Source organism: Homo sapiens, chromosome 5 (genome assembly GCF_000001405.40).
Source record: "Homo sapiens chromosome 5, GRCh38.p14 Primary Assembly".
NCBI classification, from domain to species: Eukaryota; Metazoa; Chordata; class Mammalia; order Primates; family Hominidae; genus Homo; species Homo sapiens.
In genome coordinates, this window is record NC_000005.10 from 143,158,345 (window position 1) to 143,179,438 (window position 21,094).

Sequence of the window (21,094 nt, forward strand, 5' to 3'; positions counted from 1 at the left end):
CAAGACAGGCATCGAACTGTTTACACAAAGAGCGTTGGTCAAAGCCCCCTACCCTATTGTTCCTCCGTTGGGTGGAGCCAACTGGAAACTACGCTGATTAGGCTAGAAACTAATTGCAATCTCAACTCTCCACTGGGGAAGAATTTAGCCTCAGGAATTCCTCTCCAGCCTAGGACTCTGTGTTGATTTGACTGTCATTATGGCAAAAGGGAAAAGAGCTTCTGAAAAAAAAATTATCTGGAAATGTAGCATCTTAGTCATTCACTGCATTTGCACTATCAAATTCTCTTCTAATATCTATCACCTTCCTTCACAAGGAAGCAGTGGAGTTCTCACTAAGACATTGCTTTAATGTTCCTTCTAATATTCTTTATGAAGTAAAGGCAGCTGGTGATGGGGCTATTCCCTGGCTGTTGTCAAAAATACTCAGAAAAGGGATAAAATAGCTGCATTACAGACTACCCTATTACCTCTTGTTGCCCTATACAGGAGAAGCCTTGTCTTCAGGGAAAACCAAGATGTTATTGTCCACAAACAAACAAACAAACAAAGGCAAAGGTGTTCATTCAAGGTTGATGTATTAGGATCCTAAGAAGAAACTTTGGTGCATTCAAAATAACATAACTCAAGGAGGGTTTATTAACAAAAGAGTTGGTGCCGAGGAATCACAAGAGATAGTAGAGTAAGCCAGGGCTAGCAGCTGCTGCCCAGTCACCACCCTTAGCTGAGAGAACATGAGAGGAAAGTGGTACAGGAACCCAGAAGGATATATGAGTTGGTGTCTTGACAGGAGCAGTGACCTTCAGTCAAGGGACACAGCCAGACCTTTCAGAAATGGAATAAATGCCTTGGCCGTCTCCTTCCCCCTGCTAGTCTAAAGAGCTCCCCATTGGTGAACCCAACAGGAAGCCCGAGGTTGCAAAAGCCCTGTTGAAGAAATCCATGCTGGTTAGATCCCAGAGAAGAGATCAGGGTAAAGATTGTGTCTGGAGAGGCAAATTAATGATGTCCAAAGAGTGGAAACAGCAGGAATAGCTATCAATAAAGGACGGCCTAAATAAATAGTAGAGTTGAGTACTATCCAGTACAACAGAGGAATTAGGTAGTTCTGTATGTGCTGGTCTAGAGCTGCCTTCAAAGGCACATTAAAGGGGGAAAAAATGGTGCAGGACAGTGTGCAGCTGTGACTCTCAGTCCAGATGGCACATCAGCACCACATGGGGAGCCTAAAATAAAAATTACCAACATCTAGGCCCCTTCCCTGGAGCCTCAGAGTTAACTGATCTGATGTAGGGTCTGAGTGGTGGTATGTTTCTGAAGCCTCCCAAGTGATTTTGATATGCATCTAGATTTGAAAACCATCAGTGTACATTATATGATACTATTTTATATAAGAATCCAGGGATATAGACACAGGATTTATAGACACACATGGGTGGGTGTAATATCTGTAATATTTCTGGGAAGATACAGGGGAATGAATCTGTGTGGTTTTCCCTGAAGGAGGCAGATGGGATGGTGATCTGTGGCGGAAGGAACACTGCCTTTTCATTTTAACACTACCCTCTTGTGGTATGGGATTTTTTTTTTTTTTACATGTGTGTGCATTGATTGTTTAGCTTCAAAAACTCAGAAATACATTTGCTTGGTTTTGAAATGACCATTCATTCATTCTCTTAAAGCTTTGGAACATGTCTTAGTGAGAAAAGATTTTTCTTTTTTTTTTTTTTTTTGAGACGGAGTCTCGCTCTGTCACCCAGGCTGGAGTGCAGTGGTGCAATCTCGGCTCACTGCAAGCTCTGCCTCCTGGGTTCACACCATTCTCCTGCCTCAGCCTCCTGAATAGCTGGGACTACAGGTGCCCGCCACCACACCTTGCTAATTTTTTTTATTTTTAGTAGAGATGGAGTTTCACCGTGTTAGCCAGGATGGTCTCAATCTCCTGACCTCACGATCCACCTGCCTCAGCCTCCCAAAGTGCTGGGATTACAGGCATGAGCCACCATGCCTGGCCAAGATTTTTCTTTTTAACCTTAAACTTTTTTGTGTTACCTCAATAGCTAGGAGTCTAAATGAGATGCTATTTGACAGAAGAGTAAGGCCTTTACCAAGAAGTTGTTGCTTTTGGTGGTTTTTTTTTCTTTCTTTTTTTTTCTTTTTAGACAGGGTCTCACTCTGTTTCCCAGGCTGAGTTCAGTGGTGCAATCACAGCTCACTGCAGCCTCAACCTCTTAGGCTCAAGCGATCCTTCCACCTTAGCTCCTGAGTAGCTGGATAGTCCCAGGCATGTGCCACCATACCCAGCTAATTTTTTATTTTTTGTAGAGATGGGGTCTTGCTATGTCGCCCAGGCTAGTCCCCTGGATGCAAGAGATCCTCCCACCTCGGCATCCCAAAGTGCTGGGATTACAGGTGTGAGTCATTGTGCCTGGCCTGGTATATTTTAAGTGAAAATGAAATTAAGGCCATTGGTCATTGAATCATTCCATCAATGGCCAAATGGCTCCCTCTCTCCAGGCTGGCCTCGCCCAGGGCTCTGTGTCAGTGTAGTAAGTGGTAACTGTTGGCACAGCAGAAGAAATCACATATGGAGTTAACTGAGCTCTCGCTCAGGAAGCTGAGTAGAACCAGTTAGACCCCAGCCTCTGGGCTATTTCAGATTTTTTTTTTTTTTTTTTTTTTTGAGATGGAGTCTCTTACCTTGTTGCTCAGGCTGGAGTGCAGTGGAGCGATCTCAATTCACTGCAACCTCCACCTCCTAGTTTCAAGTGATTCTCATGCCTCAGCCTCATGAGTAGCTGGGATTACAGGCACGCAGCACCACACCTGGCTAACTGTTGTATTTTTAGCAGAGACGGGGTTTTACCGTGTTGGCCAGACTGGTTTCAAACTCCTGACCTCAGGTGATCCACCCGTCTTGGCCTCCCAAAGTGCAGGGATTACAGGCATGAGCCACTGCACCCGGCCTCAGATTTCCTATTAAAATTAGGGAGCCCTAACTTAAGAAACCAGAAAGTCAATGTTAACATTGAGCAGCTACTCATGAACTCCTCCTCCAGCCCCCAACCAACATTGTGAAATGTAAGTAGTTCAATTATGTTGAGCTATATATAGTTCTTTCACCTGATCTTCATCTGTCATTCTCCATCTGCTATCTACCCAATTTCCTTTGAAAGCTCCATTTTAAAGCAGAATATATAATGGAAAAACCTTAACTCCTGACCTTTATGGAGATATACTAGAGTTACTCAATAATAATTAGCAGTTGCCCTGGTAAGCTCAGACTTACTGCTTAAATCACCCATATTTGTCACCATCCCCTGCCTGTAGGACAATAAGATCACCTGCTTTGTGCTAATGAAAATTGGGACATTTTAGTAATTTTATAATCCTTTTCAGCTTCTGTTGTAAGGGTAGAAGTGATATTGTTTGTGATTATGCTAAAAAGAGGCTTTTTGTTTTGTTTTGTAGTTACCAAAGCAGTGAGATAGAAATCATTCTGGGTTTCGAGCAAATTGGAAAGCCCTGTTCAGTCTATTTTGTTTACCACTGTATTGAAAACCTTCAAAAACTTAAGTAGGTGAAACTTGCAGACTAGAATTTAAGGATGATGGCCCTGAGATAGAAAAGGAGAATGAAATTGGCAAGTCTGTCATCATATCAGACGTCACAGACAAAGATGAGTAAAGCCCACTAACTCCAGCACTTTGACTTGCGCAATGCTGCTGGAAGGTTGGTAAATCCAAAGCTGAAGCACAAGAGAGATTTCTTCAAATGAATGTGTTGGCTTCTGCTCTGTCTCGGGGGAAGCCTGCATCCCCTCTGTAGCATCCATATACTGTGCCTTACAGCATAGACCTCATGGTAGCATGGTAGGAGCTCCATATAACTCTGCTTCTTCTGGAGGAGAAACAGACACTCTACTCCCAAACACACACATACACACACACACACACACACACACACACGCAATCCCCTTTCCCATTTTTCCCTTGATCCTTTGCGTGGAAGTAGAATTAGAGGAAATATGTCCTTAGTCATCCCATGACAGCACTTAAAATGTTCAGTTGTCACAGTGAAAATAAACTGGCAAGAAATCAGAAATCAAGAAGTGGAGTCATGGGAATCCTGGACATGCTAATCCAATAGAGACAAGATCTACATGTTAGTGATGGCCATGGCCAAGGTAATCATCCCAGACAGCAGTCAGACTCTGCATTATCCCAAGAGAAGACTACAAACATTTCATTTCATATGAGGAAATAAACACCCACCAATTGCCCTTACTGCCCGCTTTCCCCTTCAGCCTCAGTGGAACGCAAACTTATTTTCATCTAATGTTTCCCTTTGGAGTATGGCACCAACTGTTGAATATTTGCTACTGTAGCCTAACTGCTCTCTGGAGCACTCACTAATATCAGCATCCAGAATCGGCCAGCTCTGACAGACAGTCCCTTCCCAGTCAGTGAGCAAACACGCATTGAATGCTTAGTGTTTAAGACACTATTCCAGGGTACAGTGGCCCACACCTGTAATCTCAGCACTTCAGAAAGATCACTTGAGCCCAGGAATTTAAGACCAGCCTGGACAACATGACATACCATCTCTATTAAAAAAAAAAAGTTAGCTGAGTGTGGTGGTATGCGCCTGTGGTCCCATCTACTTGGGAGGCTGAGGGGAGGATTGTTTGAGTTCAAAAGGTCAAGGCTGCCATGAGCTGTGATTGCACCACTGCACTCCAGCCTGGGTGACACAGTAAGACCTCATCTTAAAAAGAAAAAGAAAAAGACACTATTCGAGGCACTGTGAAAAAGACTAAAATATACTCTCCTTGCTGCTGCTCAGATGAGGGAGATCAGATCTACGTATGTGGGGGAGCATTGCTGCCAATGCAAGATACATTTTAAGTGGTAAGTGAGCAGTTGGGTCATTTACTCAAAAATATTTATGGTTGAATGAAGGATCTTGGCAATTGTAGGCAGGGTTTCCAATAATTTCCCTAGTTCGTTTTCTAGATCTGCCTTGAAGTGTATAATTTCCTCATCTGCCTTGGTCTTATTGCTGTGAGTTGGGTAGAAGGAGTTCTAGGTTTGTTTGTTTGTTTGTTTGTTTGTTTGTTTTTTTAAGATGGAGTCTTGCTCTGTTGCCCAGGCTCGAGTGCAATGGTGCGATCTTGGCTCACTGCAACCTTTGCCTCCTGGGTTCAAGCGACTCTTCTGCCTCAGCCTCCCAAGTAGCTGGGATTACAGGGGTGCACCACCACACCCAGCTAATTTTTGTATTTTCAGTAGAGACGGGGTTTCACCATGTTGGCCAGGCTGGTCTCGAACTCCTGACCTCTGGTGATCCATCCACCTCGGTCTCCCAAAGTGCTGGGATTACAGGCATGAGCCACCATGCCTGGCCAGAGTTCTAGTTTTATGATCCATCTTTTTTCTCTTGTTCTCCAGGAGGCTTCCTACCTCTCAGACCCTACCAAGCTATGTCCCCAATTTTTTGTTTTTTTCCCACTGAGACCTCTATGGCTCTAATGTTTTAGATTTCAAGAAAACTTAAAATTTGGACTATAAGAATGACATAGAAAGGAAAAAATATCACAAAGAATGAAAAGCTGCAATTTGATCATTTGCATGTGTTGCATTTTTGAAGTCCTCCCCACCCCATTGCAACAAGAGACTTTATCTTTAGGTTGTATTTGTTCTTTTTTTTTTTTTTCTCCCAAACATCTAGCAGTTTACTAATATTTGTAGTGGGCAAAAATTTGTAACAATTTCTTATATAATGCAGTATATCAAATATCCTATTAAAATAAAATTTAGTTCATATCTTGAAGGATTATTTTCTGACCTTATATGGAAAAGGAAAGTTTTGAGAATGAGTAGTTCTTTAAACCCTGAATCAATGTAACCAGGAAAAAATAAGTGAAGAGAGACTGTGCCTTGCCATGGGTCAGGGGAAGTTTTACTATCAAATTTTCATGCAATACCCAAATCTCTGTATAGGTATGAGGGCTCTCTTTTCTGTTTCTTTGTCTATAAGGAAATTCTAAATTAAATTTCCTCTTCCTTACAAGCCAGTTATTAAGTTATTAAGTTCTGCCTTTAATTTCAGCTTGAATCAATTAGGTTAGATGCCCACAAGCAAGTGCCCTGGTTCATCATTTCAAAGAATGAGACTCTTTTTGCTGTATTTTTCTTTGCATCCATGGCTGATTTTTCTACCCTTCTACTAGCAGCTCTTCTTCCGCCTCCAGGAGTTTATTCTTTTCACTAGTATGCCAACTCCAGTGGCATTACAAAGGGAGGGTTAATAAAACCTGTGTTGAGTTGGTATTTTGACTATAGCTAGCTCTGAATTGGAGCATAGAGAGCGCTGTTAGCCATAACCTGAGTGTTCCTGATGAAACTCAGAGCCAGCTTTCTGCCTTAGTCATCATTTTTGGTTCACTTTGTGTAAGCAAGTTCCCAGTGTAACCCACTGGCCTTGGCACACCTCAGGAAGAATTAGGTCTCTATGTACAAAAATGTTCGACAGAAACCTAAGACCCTCATCTAGAATCTGAATATATAATCAGTGTGTCGGGCCTCAAAAGAGAAGAGCAATGTGATTTCATGTAGAACCCTATTTGTATGCTGCCACAGCCCTATGCTTTGCTTTACTTCGGATTCATATAGAAATCCAAGAATTTGTAGTAAGTAAGAGAAAGAAAACACCATCTCTGCTCAGCTGAGCTGGCCCGTGTGCCGAACTAGGAAGATGGCTCTTTTCCTCTGGAGAGGATATGATCTTTTCAAGGTTGCTTTTTACACATCACCATGGGGCTGGCCTGGTTGCATGCTGAAGCTGTGAAACCTGAGTGTGTATCTGTGCAAAGCTGGGGTCGAATCAGGGCCCCTAGGGGCCCTGCACTGGTTTTGTTGAGTGGAACATACAGGTTGGGGTTTTTGGAGGCTGGGTGGGGAAGAGGGAGGAGAGATGAGGGTGTTGTCAGTGAGGGAGGAACTTTGGGGAACAGAAATATCTAAAAGGAAGTTTAATGGACTTTCTTGTACACGGTGCATAATGTGAATCCTCGTCCATGTCACCTCATGCGGGCTTCGGTAAGAACCACTCCCTCATTCTTCAGTCTTCCACAGTATTAAGAGCTTGGGTTCTGGGGGCAGATTTACTGAAGAGTTCACATCCCAACTTTATTAGTTGTTTTACAATGATCACTTCCTTTTTAAAATTTATTTTAGATTCAGGAAGTACATGTGTAGGTTTGTTACGTGGGTATATTGTGTGATGTTATGAGGACTGGGCTTCTAATGTACCCATCACCCAATAATGAACGTTGTACCCAATGGGTAATTCTTTAGTCATCACCCCACCGACCCTCCCCACTTTTGGAATCCCCAGTGTCTGTCATTTCTATCTTTATGTGCATGATGTGTATTATTTATTCCCTGCTTATAAGTGAAAACATGTAGTGTTTGATTTTCTATTTCTGAGTACGACGAACAGTTCCTTGCCCTCTATAAGCCTCATCTGTTAAATGGAAACAGTAGTAGTATCTACCTCCTAGGGTTGTTAGGATGAAATGAAATAGTTCATGTAGAGCACTTTGCATGGCTTCTGGCTCATAATCAGGGCTCAGTAAAAGTTACCTGCCGTAATTATGGTCATCGTTGCTCTTTTAACAGGCACTGGGGATTTGGAATGTGTTTGGAGGGTTGTACTGAGGTGCAGAGTCCTGCTTCGTGATGGGCACAAGGTGAGAAGGGAGGCTGCCCTCTGGGTTCCAGTCATATCTCAATTAAAGAATAACACACGCCCTTCCCCTAACTCATCTAGAACAACCCCATGTACGTAGCTGGCAGTGAACACAAAAGCTCTCTGAGTAGCCGGAAGAGCCCACAATTTCATCAGCTCTCTAGACCTGTTGGACACCCTCAGATCAGGGTGACTGAGGGAGTGTGGGCAGGAAGCCCAGACCAGGAATCCAGGAGAGGCTGCTTAGGGCTTTGGGGTCCAGGCAGAGCAGGAACTATAAGGAGGTGGAGCCACTTGGAGGAAGGCGAGGACCAGAATGGAGTGGAGTGGCTCTTTTGGCTCCACATGACCACCATTTAGCTACTTGGTGTGTTGGCCTCTCTACATCCAGTTGCTGCTTCTCAGTGCTCCCCTCTGGCTTATTCTTTCCCACCATTCTGTGCCTGGGCTTTACTCTCCCTCACAGCTTCTGCTTCCTTTTAGCTTTGGATTGCCATGACCCCTGACAGCCCCAGTGCTTTCATAGCCTCATTCTCCTTAGAATTTCACCTGCTGCTTTGCTAAATTCTCTGCCATCCAGCCCTGAGGGAAAGCATCTATGGACTGGAGACCTTGAGGCAGGGGATTCTACAGTTTAATCATCTGTAGCCACAGTGAACTGGGTTACCAACCTTTCAGCAGGAACTGAAGGTAGAGCACGTTCGAAGACTGCCAAGTCCAGGACATACCTTTTGCAGACAATTACAACAAACTTGGCTCCTTGGCTTTCTGCCATCCAGTATTTTGGGAGTAACAGTCATACCACAAAAGGTGGTTACATTCACAGAATAGAAAGTTAATAATTGCTGATGAGGCAAAGTCCAGAAGAACTTTTTCTGAAGTCATAAAAGCTGTAATAATACAAAGGTCTGGATAAAGAACTAGCTACCCTTCAAATCCAGCAGCAGCTTCTTTGGTCACAACTGTATAACAGCACAAGACAGTATTGATTTTTATAATTTTCTCACCTCAAGTAAATTGCATTTGATATATTCTGTCTTTGAAGGTAGAAAAATGTGTGCCGTGTTTTAGAAAGGTTTCCTTTGGTTCACCTGGCACGGTGGCCCATGCTTGTAATGTCAGCATGTTCGGAGGCCAAGGTGGGTGGATCACTTGAGGTCAAGAGTTTGAGACCAGCCTGGCCAGCATTGTTGAAACCTCATCTCTACTTTAAAAAAAAAAAAAAAAAAAAAAAAATTAGCTGGGCCTGATGGCATGCGCCTGTAATCCCAGCTACTCGGGAGGCTGAGACATGAGAATCACTTGAACCCGGGGGGGAAGAGGTTACAGTGAGCTGAGATCACACCACTGCACTCCAGCCTGCATGACAGAGCAAGACTCCATCTCAAAAAAAAAAAAAAAAAAAAAAAAAAAAAAAAAAAAGAAATCCATTGTTTGTAATAAGAATAGGGGCGCTCAAATGATTACATTTCATTTGTTTGTAGAGTTGTTCATCAATGATGTAGATTGTGTATCACAATTCCTTAAGACCTAGAGATGGTAATAGTATGGGGGCAAGCGCATGACTAAGCCAGGCCAACCATAATATTTTCATGGATTTTTTTGTTTTGTTTTAACTGGTGCTGGGTTAAGAATTTGTCTTGCCTACCAGAATATCCAGCAGCCGTGTTCTCCATCACATATAGAAAGTTCAGCTGCAGCCATTCCAATGTGCAAAGAGAAACTGACAAGAGATAGTGGAAGCATTTTTTGAGCTTTTTTTTAACTCTCTCTGCCATTCAACAGATTTTTCTGAATGTCTTCAATATGTAAACACATTAAAGATGAGTTACAGGGGATCGTGCCCTTCACGATGAGAAATAACAGAAACATAAAGTACTTGTATTGAATGGTCTAGGTGCTACAGGATAAAGTGCTGCTGGAATTCCTAGGCAAGAGAGATGACTTTGAACTGGGATGATCAAGGAAGGCTTTGTGATCAAATTGGCACTTGAACATGCATCTTGAGGATAGGTTGGATTTAGACAGCAAACAGTGGGAAAAGGCTCAGAGGCAAGATCATACAGGGCACATGTGGGGAGCTGCTCATAGTTAACTTTGAACATATGCTTCTCATCTGTAATATTACAATTGTTTTGTTTTCTTGTGTCAATATGCTTTTTACCTCTTCAGACACTAAAGCTGGGGAAGCCTAGTAATGTTGTCTTCCCATTCCAGAATTCCATGCTAGCTGGCTCCTGATGCAACATCTTTTGTCAATTTATTTCATGTAATTGACTTGCCTGAGACGTTCCCTATTTTCATCACAGCTTTGCTTCATAGTCAAATAGACCTCACCATCTGGAACTCTTTTTTTTTTTTTTTTTTTTTTTTTTTTTTTGCTCAAATTTTCTTCCACAAAGGGCCTGTTTTGGTTTCTGAGTGTCACACAAGATCTTACGACATTCTGCATCATCCTCTTTGCTTTGAGTTTTATAATGTTAAAAAGCCAACAAAATAGGTTCAAAAATAAGCTGTATTCCTCTTCTGTGTTGCAACCCAAGACTAAGCACATCAGACAAATTCTGACACCTTCAGCTTTTAGCAAAGGCTGTTTGGTTGCCTTGGAGTTAGGCTATATCTCTAGGAGATTAGCTCTAGGCTCTGAGAGGGTAAAGCAACTCAGAAACAATCAGGATAGACCAGATTCATGGTGGGATTAATAAGGAGAGGATATAGATAGTGATCACGTAGACTTACAGAAAATGCCTGCTTATTTTTACTCCTTACACAGAGTTGTTTTGTTTAGCCTTCACTTACTATGCTAAACCTGCTAAAGTACATGTGGTATTTATTTTCATTTGGATGGGTAGCATCCCTTCTCTTTCTCAAACTGTAAGTGAACTATGGAAACTGCATCCCAGACATTCAGTGGTGATAGTCTGACACATTGTCACAGAGCACCATGCACTACTAAAGTGACTGTTGGGGCCTTTGCTTTTGCAATGTTTGCATTTCTCTCAATCCAGGGCCTCTCTGGGCTCTAACAGGAGCTATTCCTGTCTTCCTCACATGTTTCTGAAAACTGAACACTGGTGTAAATTTCCCTAATGTGACATCTTTTACATGTACAGACAGTTCTATTCAAGACCCTGTATGTCAGCTTGAGCAGATTTACCCATCAGTGTTCTTGGTTGCAAGTAACAGAAAACCTAGCCCAAATAAGTTAGGCTAAAATGGAACTTACTGGTTTTCCATTGTGCAGGAACATTTGTATTCAGGCATGGCTGGGTCCAGGGGCACAGGTGTTGCCATCAGAACCCAGCTCTTGCCAGCTCTCATTTCAGCTTTCCTCTTTGCTGACTCTCCTTAGATAAGCTCTTTCCTTTTGATTGCAGGGTGGTTACCACCAGCTGGACTTACCTTCTTAAAAAGCCCAAGCCCAGCAGAAAAGAAAGAGAGAGCCTCTTTTTCTCAGCAGTTTGAAATACAGGCTGAGCCTAATTTCTGTTGGTCCACATTGAGTCCCATCCCCATCCCTTAACCAATCTTTGTGGCCAGGGGTATAAGTGAGCCTCTGTGGGGCTGGGCCTGAATCACCTGTTCACCCTTGACTGGGTGGGAGGGGAGAACAACACCCAAGGCACACGGACTCTGCGGATGGAGAAGGGGTGGTCCTCAGAGAAGAGACAGCCACAGATGTCACTACACTGGACCTTTCTTATGGGGACTTCGTGAAGGATTTGGTGACTTTACACTCCAGGATCCAAATTTGTACTGCTTTCTTTCCCCTCAATAGTGTTTTATATGATCTCTGAAAATATCCCCTTTTTTCAGTCCAAAGGCTTCTTGCATAATTTATTTTATTCCTAGTTGACTGACTGCCTCCTTTAAGAAAAACGTATTTTATAGTTTTTTAAAAATGAAGAAAATGTTATCTTCCTACTTAGCCCTGGACACAGTTGATTCATTTAAAAAACAAATTTCTGGGAAAAGGCTTTCATTATCAGTGCCCATTACAGGTTATTAGAGAACAAATGGCAAACACCGGTGTGCTGGGGCTGGCCTCCATTCATTTTAATGACAGTGTTGTGGAGAGTGCATCTTAGAATGTGACTAAGCAGAAGGAAAAGAATCTGAAAAGGACTGGCCCCTTGTCTTCTGTGAGAGCCATGAACATGCAAAAACAGTGGCTCAGCAGCTCTGAGAGCTCCTCAGACACAGGCCACTGGGTGGTGGCATCTTTTGGTGGCCTGCCAGAAACAGTGGGGCAGCCAGCATCCACCTCACGAGCTTTGCAAAAGTCTCCAACTTGTTGTGACATTGTCCAAAACCTATGAGTTTGGATAAGAACTGTTTCTTCTGCCAGGAATCACATTGAGCGGCTGGAAAATTCCACCTCAGTTTGATCTTCCAGTGCCTGGTTCATATCCTGAGAACAAATTTTGTTCTCAAAGGTTGAAATGAAGTCTCCATGAGCTATGGTGATGATAATGGTGGTAATGACAATGATAATTCACATTAAGGAAGCCCCAGTGTCCCAGGCATTTTACATGTGTGTACTTATTTAATCAACATAATGCCGGAGGTACTGTTGTACTCCACATTTTGCACATGAGGCATAGAGAGATTACCTAACTTACCTGAGGGTAGAGGTGGGATTTGAACCCAGGTGGTCAGGTTCTAGTACTGCCCCACCCACAACCACTATGCTTAGTTGCTTCTGCGGGCAATGGTTGGGTATTGGCAAGCTACAGAAGCTGGGTGTGTTGGGAAAGAGACTGAAGCAGCCCAGTCATGTTTCTTCTTTTTCTTGCCCTCCATTCTCTGGTATCGTTCAAGTATCAGATGCTGGGGGAGTTTGGGGAGACAACAAGAGCATGGGAGAATAGGAAGCAGAGAATGAGTACCTAAAAACAGAGGTCAGCGGGCCAGAGTTTAAGAGAAAAAGAGAGGGGAAAAAAGAGCAGGAAATCCTTGAAAGGAGCTATAATAAAGGACAGAGAATATAAAGGATAAAAATGGATTCCAAGGAGGAAAAAGAATGGGAGGAATGTTTATTGACCATCTGCTGTTGCCAGGCACTAGCCTAGGGCTTTTCCATATGTTATCTAATCTTAGAACCCAGTTAGATGAACAACCACTATCAATATTCCCATTTTACAGATGGGGAAACTGGGTTTCAGGGGGATAAAGTGACTTCCCCAAGGTCACAGAAAGCAGCAGTTTGAGCTGAGGCCTGTGTGACCCCCAGCCAACAAGTCATCCATCGTCTTGAGGGCTAGTCCCTCATTCCTGGCCATGGTTTGTAGCCCTAGATGAGAGCCGCACTTGAGATCTTGAGATTTGACAGATACTTGGAGATCATACTCCAAGGAATATGGCCATTCCTTTGCTGGGAGGCAGTTGCTGTGTACTTGCATCACAAGGAGGAGAGGGGAGGGGAGAGGAATAAAGTTTTATGGGACACCTCCTTACTTCCCAAGTTTCAAACTTTTATCAAGCCAACTCTTTAAACTTTAAATATGTTGCCAGAGGTGCTGTCACTTCCTTAAGCATTCCATAACTCTCCAATCTCAGGTAAGCTATTTTTTTCCCATACTTGTGAGATTTCCTCCTACATTTGCCCATTTCTGCCATTAAAAACAAAACTAAAAACTTTCCCTCAAAAGCTGACCATCTGCTTGTCACTACGCTTTCTTCCAAATTGAAGAGGTGGTAGCAGGATGTTTGCAAGCCCAGTATTTATCTCTGGCGTAGGCACAATCCCAGCATCTACTGATTACATTTCCCATTTACTGTTAGGTTTGCGATTTGGGATTTGAACTTCCTCTGCATTTTTTTTTGTTTCCTTCCTTTTATTTCTTAGAATCCAGGTCTAATTGTCCCCTTAAGGGTTAGACTGGTTTCAATAGATTTATTAAGTGATGACTTTACAGTGTGGGTGTTATGTCCATCTCAAAATCTGTGCAGGCAACCATCACATACATGCTTGTCCCCTATTGCCAGCTAAAACTGAGGCAGCATTTTCAAGAATGCCAAGCCTTTACTAAGTGCAGGCATTTGTTTGTTATTTCAAGTCTTTGTATGCTGACAAATTCTGTACATGCATGCGTGTGTTTAGAGCACAGTTGGGTGACATGTGCCAGGTATCTGGTGGCAACTGTCCTCTGAGCATGGTTGATAACCAAATAAAATCCAGGAATGTGAGGCTTGTTACTCTTTAAAAAAAAAAATACATGTACAGTTGAGTAAAATGAGAATAAAAAATAAGATTAACAAAGGCTGAGAGAGGAAGAGAGTAATTCATCATAAAACTGTCCTGAGCCACCTAGCAGCCACGACAAAGAAGGGAAAAAATATAATGGGATGTATAGTTCAATTGTCTGTTCAAAAAAAGCATGCCAGTTCATCAAGAGCTACAAGTTATAATATTAATTTGTCATGTGAATCTCTATATTAATGATTTTGAATAGCTCAATAGATAATATCTTCCAAAGCAGTTTCATGCAAAAAATAAATGAGGCCCTCTATATAGGGCTGTTACTCCCATTGGTTTTGATTAAATACAGAGTCTGATATTAAGCTGAAGTATTGAAAGGTTGTTTTTACTATGGTGCAACAAGGAGAACAACCTGGAGAAAGCATGTTTGCTGGTGATCGGCCTGGTAACAGAATGATAGGTGGAAGGCAGGATCCCTCTTAGAGGATCCCAGTTATCTTGGCCATGCTTTTGATAGGAGCTACATGACATGTATTCTAAATTGAGGTCTGTGGGAATATAAATACCCGAAGGGCAGATACCCATGTTGTTGGTTGAAAGAAGATGCCAGAGGCATAGATCATGTTTTATTGAGGCTGACTGGAATTCTTGTCTCCATAGGGTTCATGCGAGTTCAGCAAGCAGTTACCATGTCTACGGCATGCCAGGATACTGTTGGGAAGGTAGTATTCCGTGTACGTGAGACCTGCACCCAGGTTTCTTTAAGGTAGCCTGGCAGTGCTGTGACAGAGACAGACTCAGGATGCAGTGGGACCCAGGGGAGGGACACTGAGCCTCACCCTCTGGGCTGCATCTTGGTAAGTGAGTAAAAGTTACCCATGGGAAGATGGGGGACATTGCAAGCAAATGGAACTGTGCAAGCACAAACAAGGAGAAAATAAATATGGAGTGCCCTCGAACTCTTTGGCCTCAACTGATCCTCCCACCTCGGCCTCCCAAAGCACTAGGATTACGAGCATGAGCCACTGCACCCGGCTCATGCTGCATGCCTGAGAAGTAACAAACCATTCTGCAGGGTGTGCAGGAGCCACGAGGGCCTAGAGGGAGTGGAGTCAGGAGAGCGGAAAATCACCACAGGCCAGAATTTTCAAGAGACGTATTTTTAGGCAGGTCCAAGATGTTTCTCCAAAAACGAAGTGGCTTTGCATTGTTTTATTAGTAAGAGTCAACATTTCCGAATTCAGGCACTTCGCTTCGCAATTTACATAGGCATTGTTTTTCTTAATCCTCACAGTCACTTCTGACAGGTGGGTATTGTTTTCCCATTTTTGCCGGTAGCAGCCTCAGAAAGGTTAAGTAACTTGCCCAAAGTCCACAAAATCTAACTGCAGAGACTTCCCCACCTCACCATTTGGGAGCTTTTTTGTCCAAAGACTATGAATGTCCTAAATCAGAGCCCAAGTAGAATTGGAGTTCTGAGTCATGCTGTGTGGAAGGGAGAGGTGACCTTGACCTAGACTGCACCCTAGGCTTCCCTATACCTAAAAAATTTACCCTGAAGATGATTTTTCTTTGGTGAAGGCTGTTAGACATTGAGGCTGGTCTGCCCACAAAGATGAATTTGGTTTTGGCAAAACTAAGTAGCTCCTCTTCCCAAGATTCAGTTGCTGTTTGAGGGCAGCATCAAAACAGAGAAGTGTTGTATCTTCCTGTGTGTAAAGCAGGAAGGGTGACATCTGTTTCTTCCAATAGCCTCTCCATGTTGTTTAGAAATCAGTATTTCTTAAAAGGAGGATGGCAGCAGGTAGAACAAAATGTCAATATTCATTCAGTGCCTCTTCTGTTTTATCCAGCTCAGAGATTCTGTCCCATGCAAAATAAAAGATAGGTAACAATCTATTGTTCAGTGTTAAGGATCCGGTTGGGTATGTTGTTGTACATCTCCACAATGGCATGCTACATAGCCACTAAGAAAGAACGAGGAGGCAACTTTTCGTGTAATGATGGAGCAATCTCCAGGAGATACTGTTAAGGAAAACAGTCAGGATTCAGAACAATGTGAATAACTGGTGGTCATTTGTTTTTAAAGGGAAGGGGAGTGTGAAATCACACACACACATCCACCCACACCAGCTTGCAAGTTCATTTAGTATCTCTGGAGAAAATATGAGAAACTCATACTAATGGTTACTTCTGGAGAGGGAAGGAAGAGTTATTTTTCCTGTCTACCCTTTTATACTGATACCCTTTTATACTGTCTGGAAATTTTATCAACTGATATAATAGCCATTCCAAGCAATAGATTAATGTAAAAATTAAAGAGAGAAAATGCCCCATCCCCTAAACAAGTTGAAACATATTCATATAATTTATTTGTAGATATATACCTCTATCCCATGGTTGTGAATTAGCCGTCATATGAGTATTTTAAATTTGTAGTCTATAAGCAGGCAACTTTTTAGCAATATGGGATTACATAGGATCATAGGTAATTGGAACCCTCAGCCAAATACTTGCTGATACACTACCTCTGAGTTTCTAAACAAGTGAGCAAGAAAGTCCTGTATTGAACTTCTAAGCCTCATACCTGTCAGGGACTGATAAGTACACATGGGCAGGTTCTTTGATATGTTTCCAAGTCCATTATCAGAGATAAGGAAGCTTAAGTGTAAATCTGTGATTTAACTACATTTCAAATTTGATGTGGAGCTACAGGAAGGATGCCAGAGAGAACCTGTGTGCTCCGAATACATCTGTTGCTCTAGCTCTTTAAAAGACTTTCTTTTCCCCACATAAAAGGAGCCCAAATGTTCTCTCTGCTATATAAGGCTATTTAACTGACCTAAGGGCTAACTCTTACTTTTTGGTGCTTCACAGATGACTAAGTGGTGGTATTATTTTAACCAGTAAAAATTCAGAAATCTAGGGTCAGGCTTGCAGCTGGCAGAACTTGTAAACAGTTAATGATTGAAAGGACTAATCAGCATCTTGAAAGGCAGCTCATGAGAAGCATAAGCAAAATGCTTAGGGGTGCCTGCAGATAGAGGACTGTGGCACTCTGTGGTGACAGTGAAGGAAAATGTGTTTGATGTCATCTTGTCACAGAGAAAGGCTATCTGTCAGACCTCAACTTAGCATGAGTTTTTCTTTTGTAAGTATGTAAGATATTTTCAGAAATGTTTTAGAAAAAAGATTGTTTTTTAAACCAAATTTTCAGTGTCTACTCGAAAAAAATGGTACACTTTTTTTTTTAATGAAGAATGTTGGATACCAAAATGTAAGAGATTTCTAATAAACAGCCCTTCTCAGTTGGTACAGACTTCAACACCTGGTCTAGAAGTTTTATACTATTGGGCATATGTGGGGTGTGGGAATTATTGTTTGTTTAGTATTTTTGCAAAAGCAGGCTTGGGTTTCTTTCTGATTCTTATTTAGGTTTGAGAGAGAACTGCCATAAGAAGGTTTTTGTTTTTAGCCAATTTTGACTTTTTCCCTTAATTTTTAAATTTCCTCATCTGAAATATGGCACAATAGGCCAGGCACAGTGGCTCACGCCTGTAATCCCAGCACTTTGGGAGGGTGAGGCAGGTGGATCAACTGAGGTCAGGAGTTCGAGACCAGCCTGGCAAACATGGTGAAACCCCTTCTCTACTAAAAATACAAAAATTAGCCGGGCGTGGTGGTGTGCCCCTGTAATCCCAGCTACTCAGGAGGCCGAGGCATGGGAATCACTTGAACCCAGGAGGTGGAGGTTTCAGTGAGCTGAGATGGCACCACTGCACTCCAGCCTGGGTGACAGAGTGAGACTGTGTCTCAAATAAGTAAATAAATAAATAAATAAATGAAATATGACACGTGACAATGAAACAGAATTGTCTTTATGAGATTTATGTCTTCTCTTAGCCAGAGATTAGCCAAGCATTTGTTCCTTAAAAATGAAAAGTCATGATGCCTGTGTAGTGAGCCATCTGCTGCTCAGCAGACTGCATAAGAGACTTGCCAGCCACTTCTGCTTTTATATTTATGAACTGACGTTCACTTCTTAGATGGTAGGAATTAATCCAGTGGGACTCTACTTTGAAAGTAAGTTTCTTATGGGAATTTACCTGCAGGCTTGGCAGGCGAACCCTTTGGGCAGAATAGTGACTCCCAAGCACCATGGCATGTTTGTTTTCGAGAGTTTTTGTGTCCCTCCTCTGGTTCTTCTTCCTGGGAGCACCACCTCCATGCTCATATGCATTGACATAGAAGTCCTTTCACCACTGAATGTAAAGAGCCAGCCTAAAAATGAGAAATTAATTTACCTTCGCCCCAGGGTAGCTTAGAGACAGCTTTTAAATTTTGATGTTAAAAAGCACTTGGAAAGACAGTTCATTTTGGAGCCTGCGGAAGGAATTACTTTAGTTAAGGGCTTAACGTAAACCTAAGTAGCAGACCATTAGGCAGAGGTCTACATTTGGCATTGAAACTTAAATTTCAATACTATAATGAAAATTTCCACCATAAAAGAGACTCGGGTGTCTGATTTTCATCGTTATGCAATTTTCAGCTCATAATCTCAGAATCCGTAAATGCCTTTAGGATCTAATTTGCAAAGAGAATTACGTATTGCAAGGAGCCATGTAAAGTATATAACTAGTTCTGTGGAAAGCAAAGCTGTGAGTGACATCTAATTAGGCTACAATATCAATGTGCTTTGGCTCTGGCACTCATCTGTCATTACTTTGAACAAGCCATTTGACCTTTATATTATATGTAGGGACCATACCTCTTCATTTGCCTGTTAGTTCTGTTGCCCTGGTATAAATTTAATTGCGCCTTTCTGCTTCAATGTGCTGGTTTGGGTGATAAGTTATATGATCACTCACTATATACAATCTAGAATAAATGATAACACTTCATCATATTAGTTTCCCAAGTGTCTTTTTCACTAAGTTGATCATCTGTGGACCAAGGACCATCTAGTTGGCCTCTCAGAATAGTGTTTGGCTTTTGTTTGCTACATAGTGCTTGTCAAATGAAGGAATCAGCTTCTCAGGCTGCATCACGAGCCTGTAGGATTTGGATCCGTGAAATGTATGTGAGATCACCAAGCATAATGCTCCCCAGTGAAAACAGGACTCATCGAATGCCAAGACGCTCAGTCATGGTTGATTACCAGACCACAGAAAACCTGGCAGAGCTGGCACGTCAGTAGCAGACACGTACATGTATTTGATATGCATGCTCACCCATAGCTGCCTTGGAGACAAGGTGCTGTCGGCAGACCAGAAGTTGGGAAAAATTTCTGATAGGCTTAGGATCTGGCTGGCACTGCTGTCAGGAATAACAATAATACTACAAAATATATTTATAGTGCTTTTCAGTTTTCAGAGCCACTTGAAACAGTTTGCAGAGTGTTTCATTTGATTTTGGCACTAACCCAAATCATAGCACTTGGCATACTGTACTATAGTTGCCCATTTTCTTCTCTGATTCCTGCTCTAAGCTGTAACGTAGGTCAGGCCCACACCTGTTTCTTGTTCACTATTGTTTCCCCAGCACTTGAGGGTGCTCTTTCCAGGTGTGTGATAAATACGGATGGAAAGCATGATGAGTGCAGGGCAACTACTATCTCCTACATTTTCTAAATGAGGGACACTGAGGCTCAGAGGGCATAAGTGGCCTGTTCAAGTCTGTGTGGCAGTCCTTTTTTTTTTTTTTTTTTTTTTTTTTTTTTGAGACAGCATCTCACTCTGTCACCTGGGCTGGAGTGCAGTGGTGTAATCTCTGTTCACTACAACCTCCGCTTCCCAGGCTCAAATGATTCTCCTGCCTCAGCCTCCCAAGTAGCTGGGATTATAGGTGCATGCCACCATGCCCGGCTAATTTTTGTATTTTCAGTAGAGATGGGATTTCACTATGTTGGCCAGGCTGGTCTCAAACTCCTGACCTCAAGTGATCTGCCCACCTCAGCCTCCCAAAGTGCTGAGATTACAGGCGTGAGCCACCGTGCCCAGCCTGTGTGGCAGTCTTAACCTGTAAGCTCCTGTTCAAGCCTGGACCTTTGGATTCAAAGTTCAGTGCTCTTTCTGTTGAATCAGTACCCAGAAGAAGGAGCATTGTGTTCATTGTATGAGGGTGACAACTTTGCAAGAAACATAGAAAGATGGGAGACTGCAGTTCCTTCCACATGGGATTTGCTTCCCCTACCTACACTTGCTAACATCTGCTGTTTCTTTTAGGATCCACTGAGTCCTCCTCCAGGGAGCCTTCCCTGCTGCCCTGCCCCTTGACTGGCTTAGGTGCCACTATTCAGCGCTACTACAATAGCTGGTGCTCATTTCTGTCGTTGTACTTAACAACAGCTGCTGCTGCCCATGGGGGCTCCCTTGGTGCCAGACACTGAGCTGAGAGCTTCACATTTCCTCACGATTGCCCCAGGAGGGAGGCTGTTCATACTTCGTTTTTCAAGTGGGAAACTGAGGTTCAGGAAAGTCATCTAACTTGTACAAGGTCACCCAGCTTGTAAGTGGTTGACCTAGAAATCATCTGACTCTAGGCTGCTGAGCCCACCACACCCCACTTAACTATATGATTTTTTTTTTTTTCCAAGGAGTCTCACTCTATCACCCAGGGTGGAGTGCAGTGATGCAATCTGGGCTCACTGCAACTTCCGCCTCCCGGGTTCAAGCGATTCTCCTGCTTCAGCCTCCCAAGTAGCTGGGATTACAGGCACCTGCCACCACACCTGGCTAATTTTTATATTTTTAGTAGAGACCCGGTTTCACCATGTTGGCCAGGCTGCTCTTGAACTCCTGACCTTAGCGATCCACCTGCCTCAGCCTCCCAAAGTGTTGGGATTACAGGCGTGAGCCACCGCGCCCAGCCATTTATCATGTATCATGATAAATACATGATTATCAGACATTAATATACCAGCTTTCCCCCACTGGACTGCACACTCCTCAAGGGCTGGCATGAGGGCTTATTCCTCTTCAGCATCTAGTACCTTTCCTGGCACCAAGGCAGCACTTACTAAATACTTGTTGGGTGTACGAGCAAGAGAGGCAGCGAAGAGAGCTGTGGGAGCCCAAGTGAAAACAGGGACTGCATCAACTTCTTGGACCAGCCTGGGATCTCCTGGGTTGCGTTGCTTTT

The 21,094-nt window shown here is 42.8% G+C and overlaps 1 protein-coding gene across 35 annotated transcripts in view; it reads left to right on the forward strand.

The window, feature by feature from the left end:
- The window catches only part of ARHGAP26 (Rho GTPase activating protein 26), a 458,635-nt gene that overhangs the window by 387,968 nt on the left and 49,573 nt on the right, over positions 1-21,094 (forward strand). For 2 of the 35 annotated variants that reach the window (XM_017009250.3, XM_047416988.1), the window contains exon 21: positions 7,683-7,753. The exons of 32 other annotated variants lie outside the window; for them this stretch is intronic. In XM_017009250.3, coding sequence (XP_016864739.2) covers positions 7,683-7,743 — 61 coding nt within the window. In that variant the 3' untranslated portion in view covers positions 7,744-7,753. Of the gene's footprint in view, positions 1-7,682; positions 7,754-14,614; positions 14,914-21,094 lie in introns of those variants that run through there. One more of the 35 variants, XM_047416986.1, reaches the window with a different exon arrangement.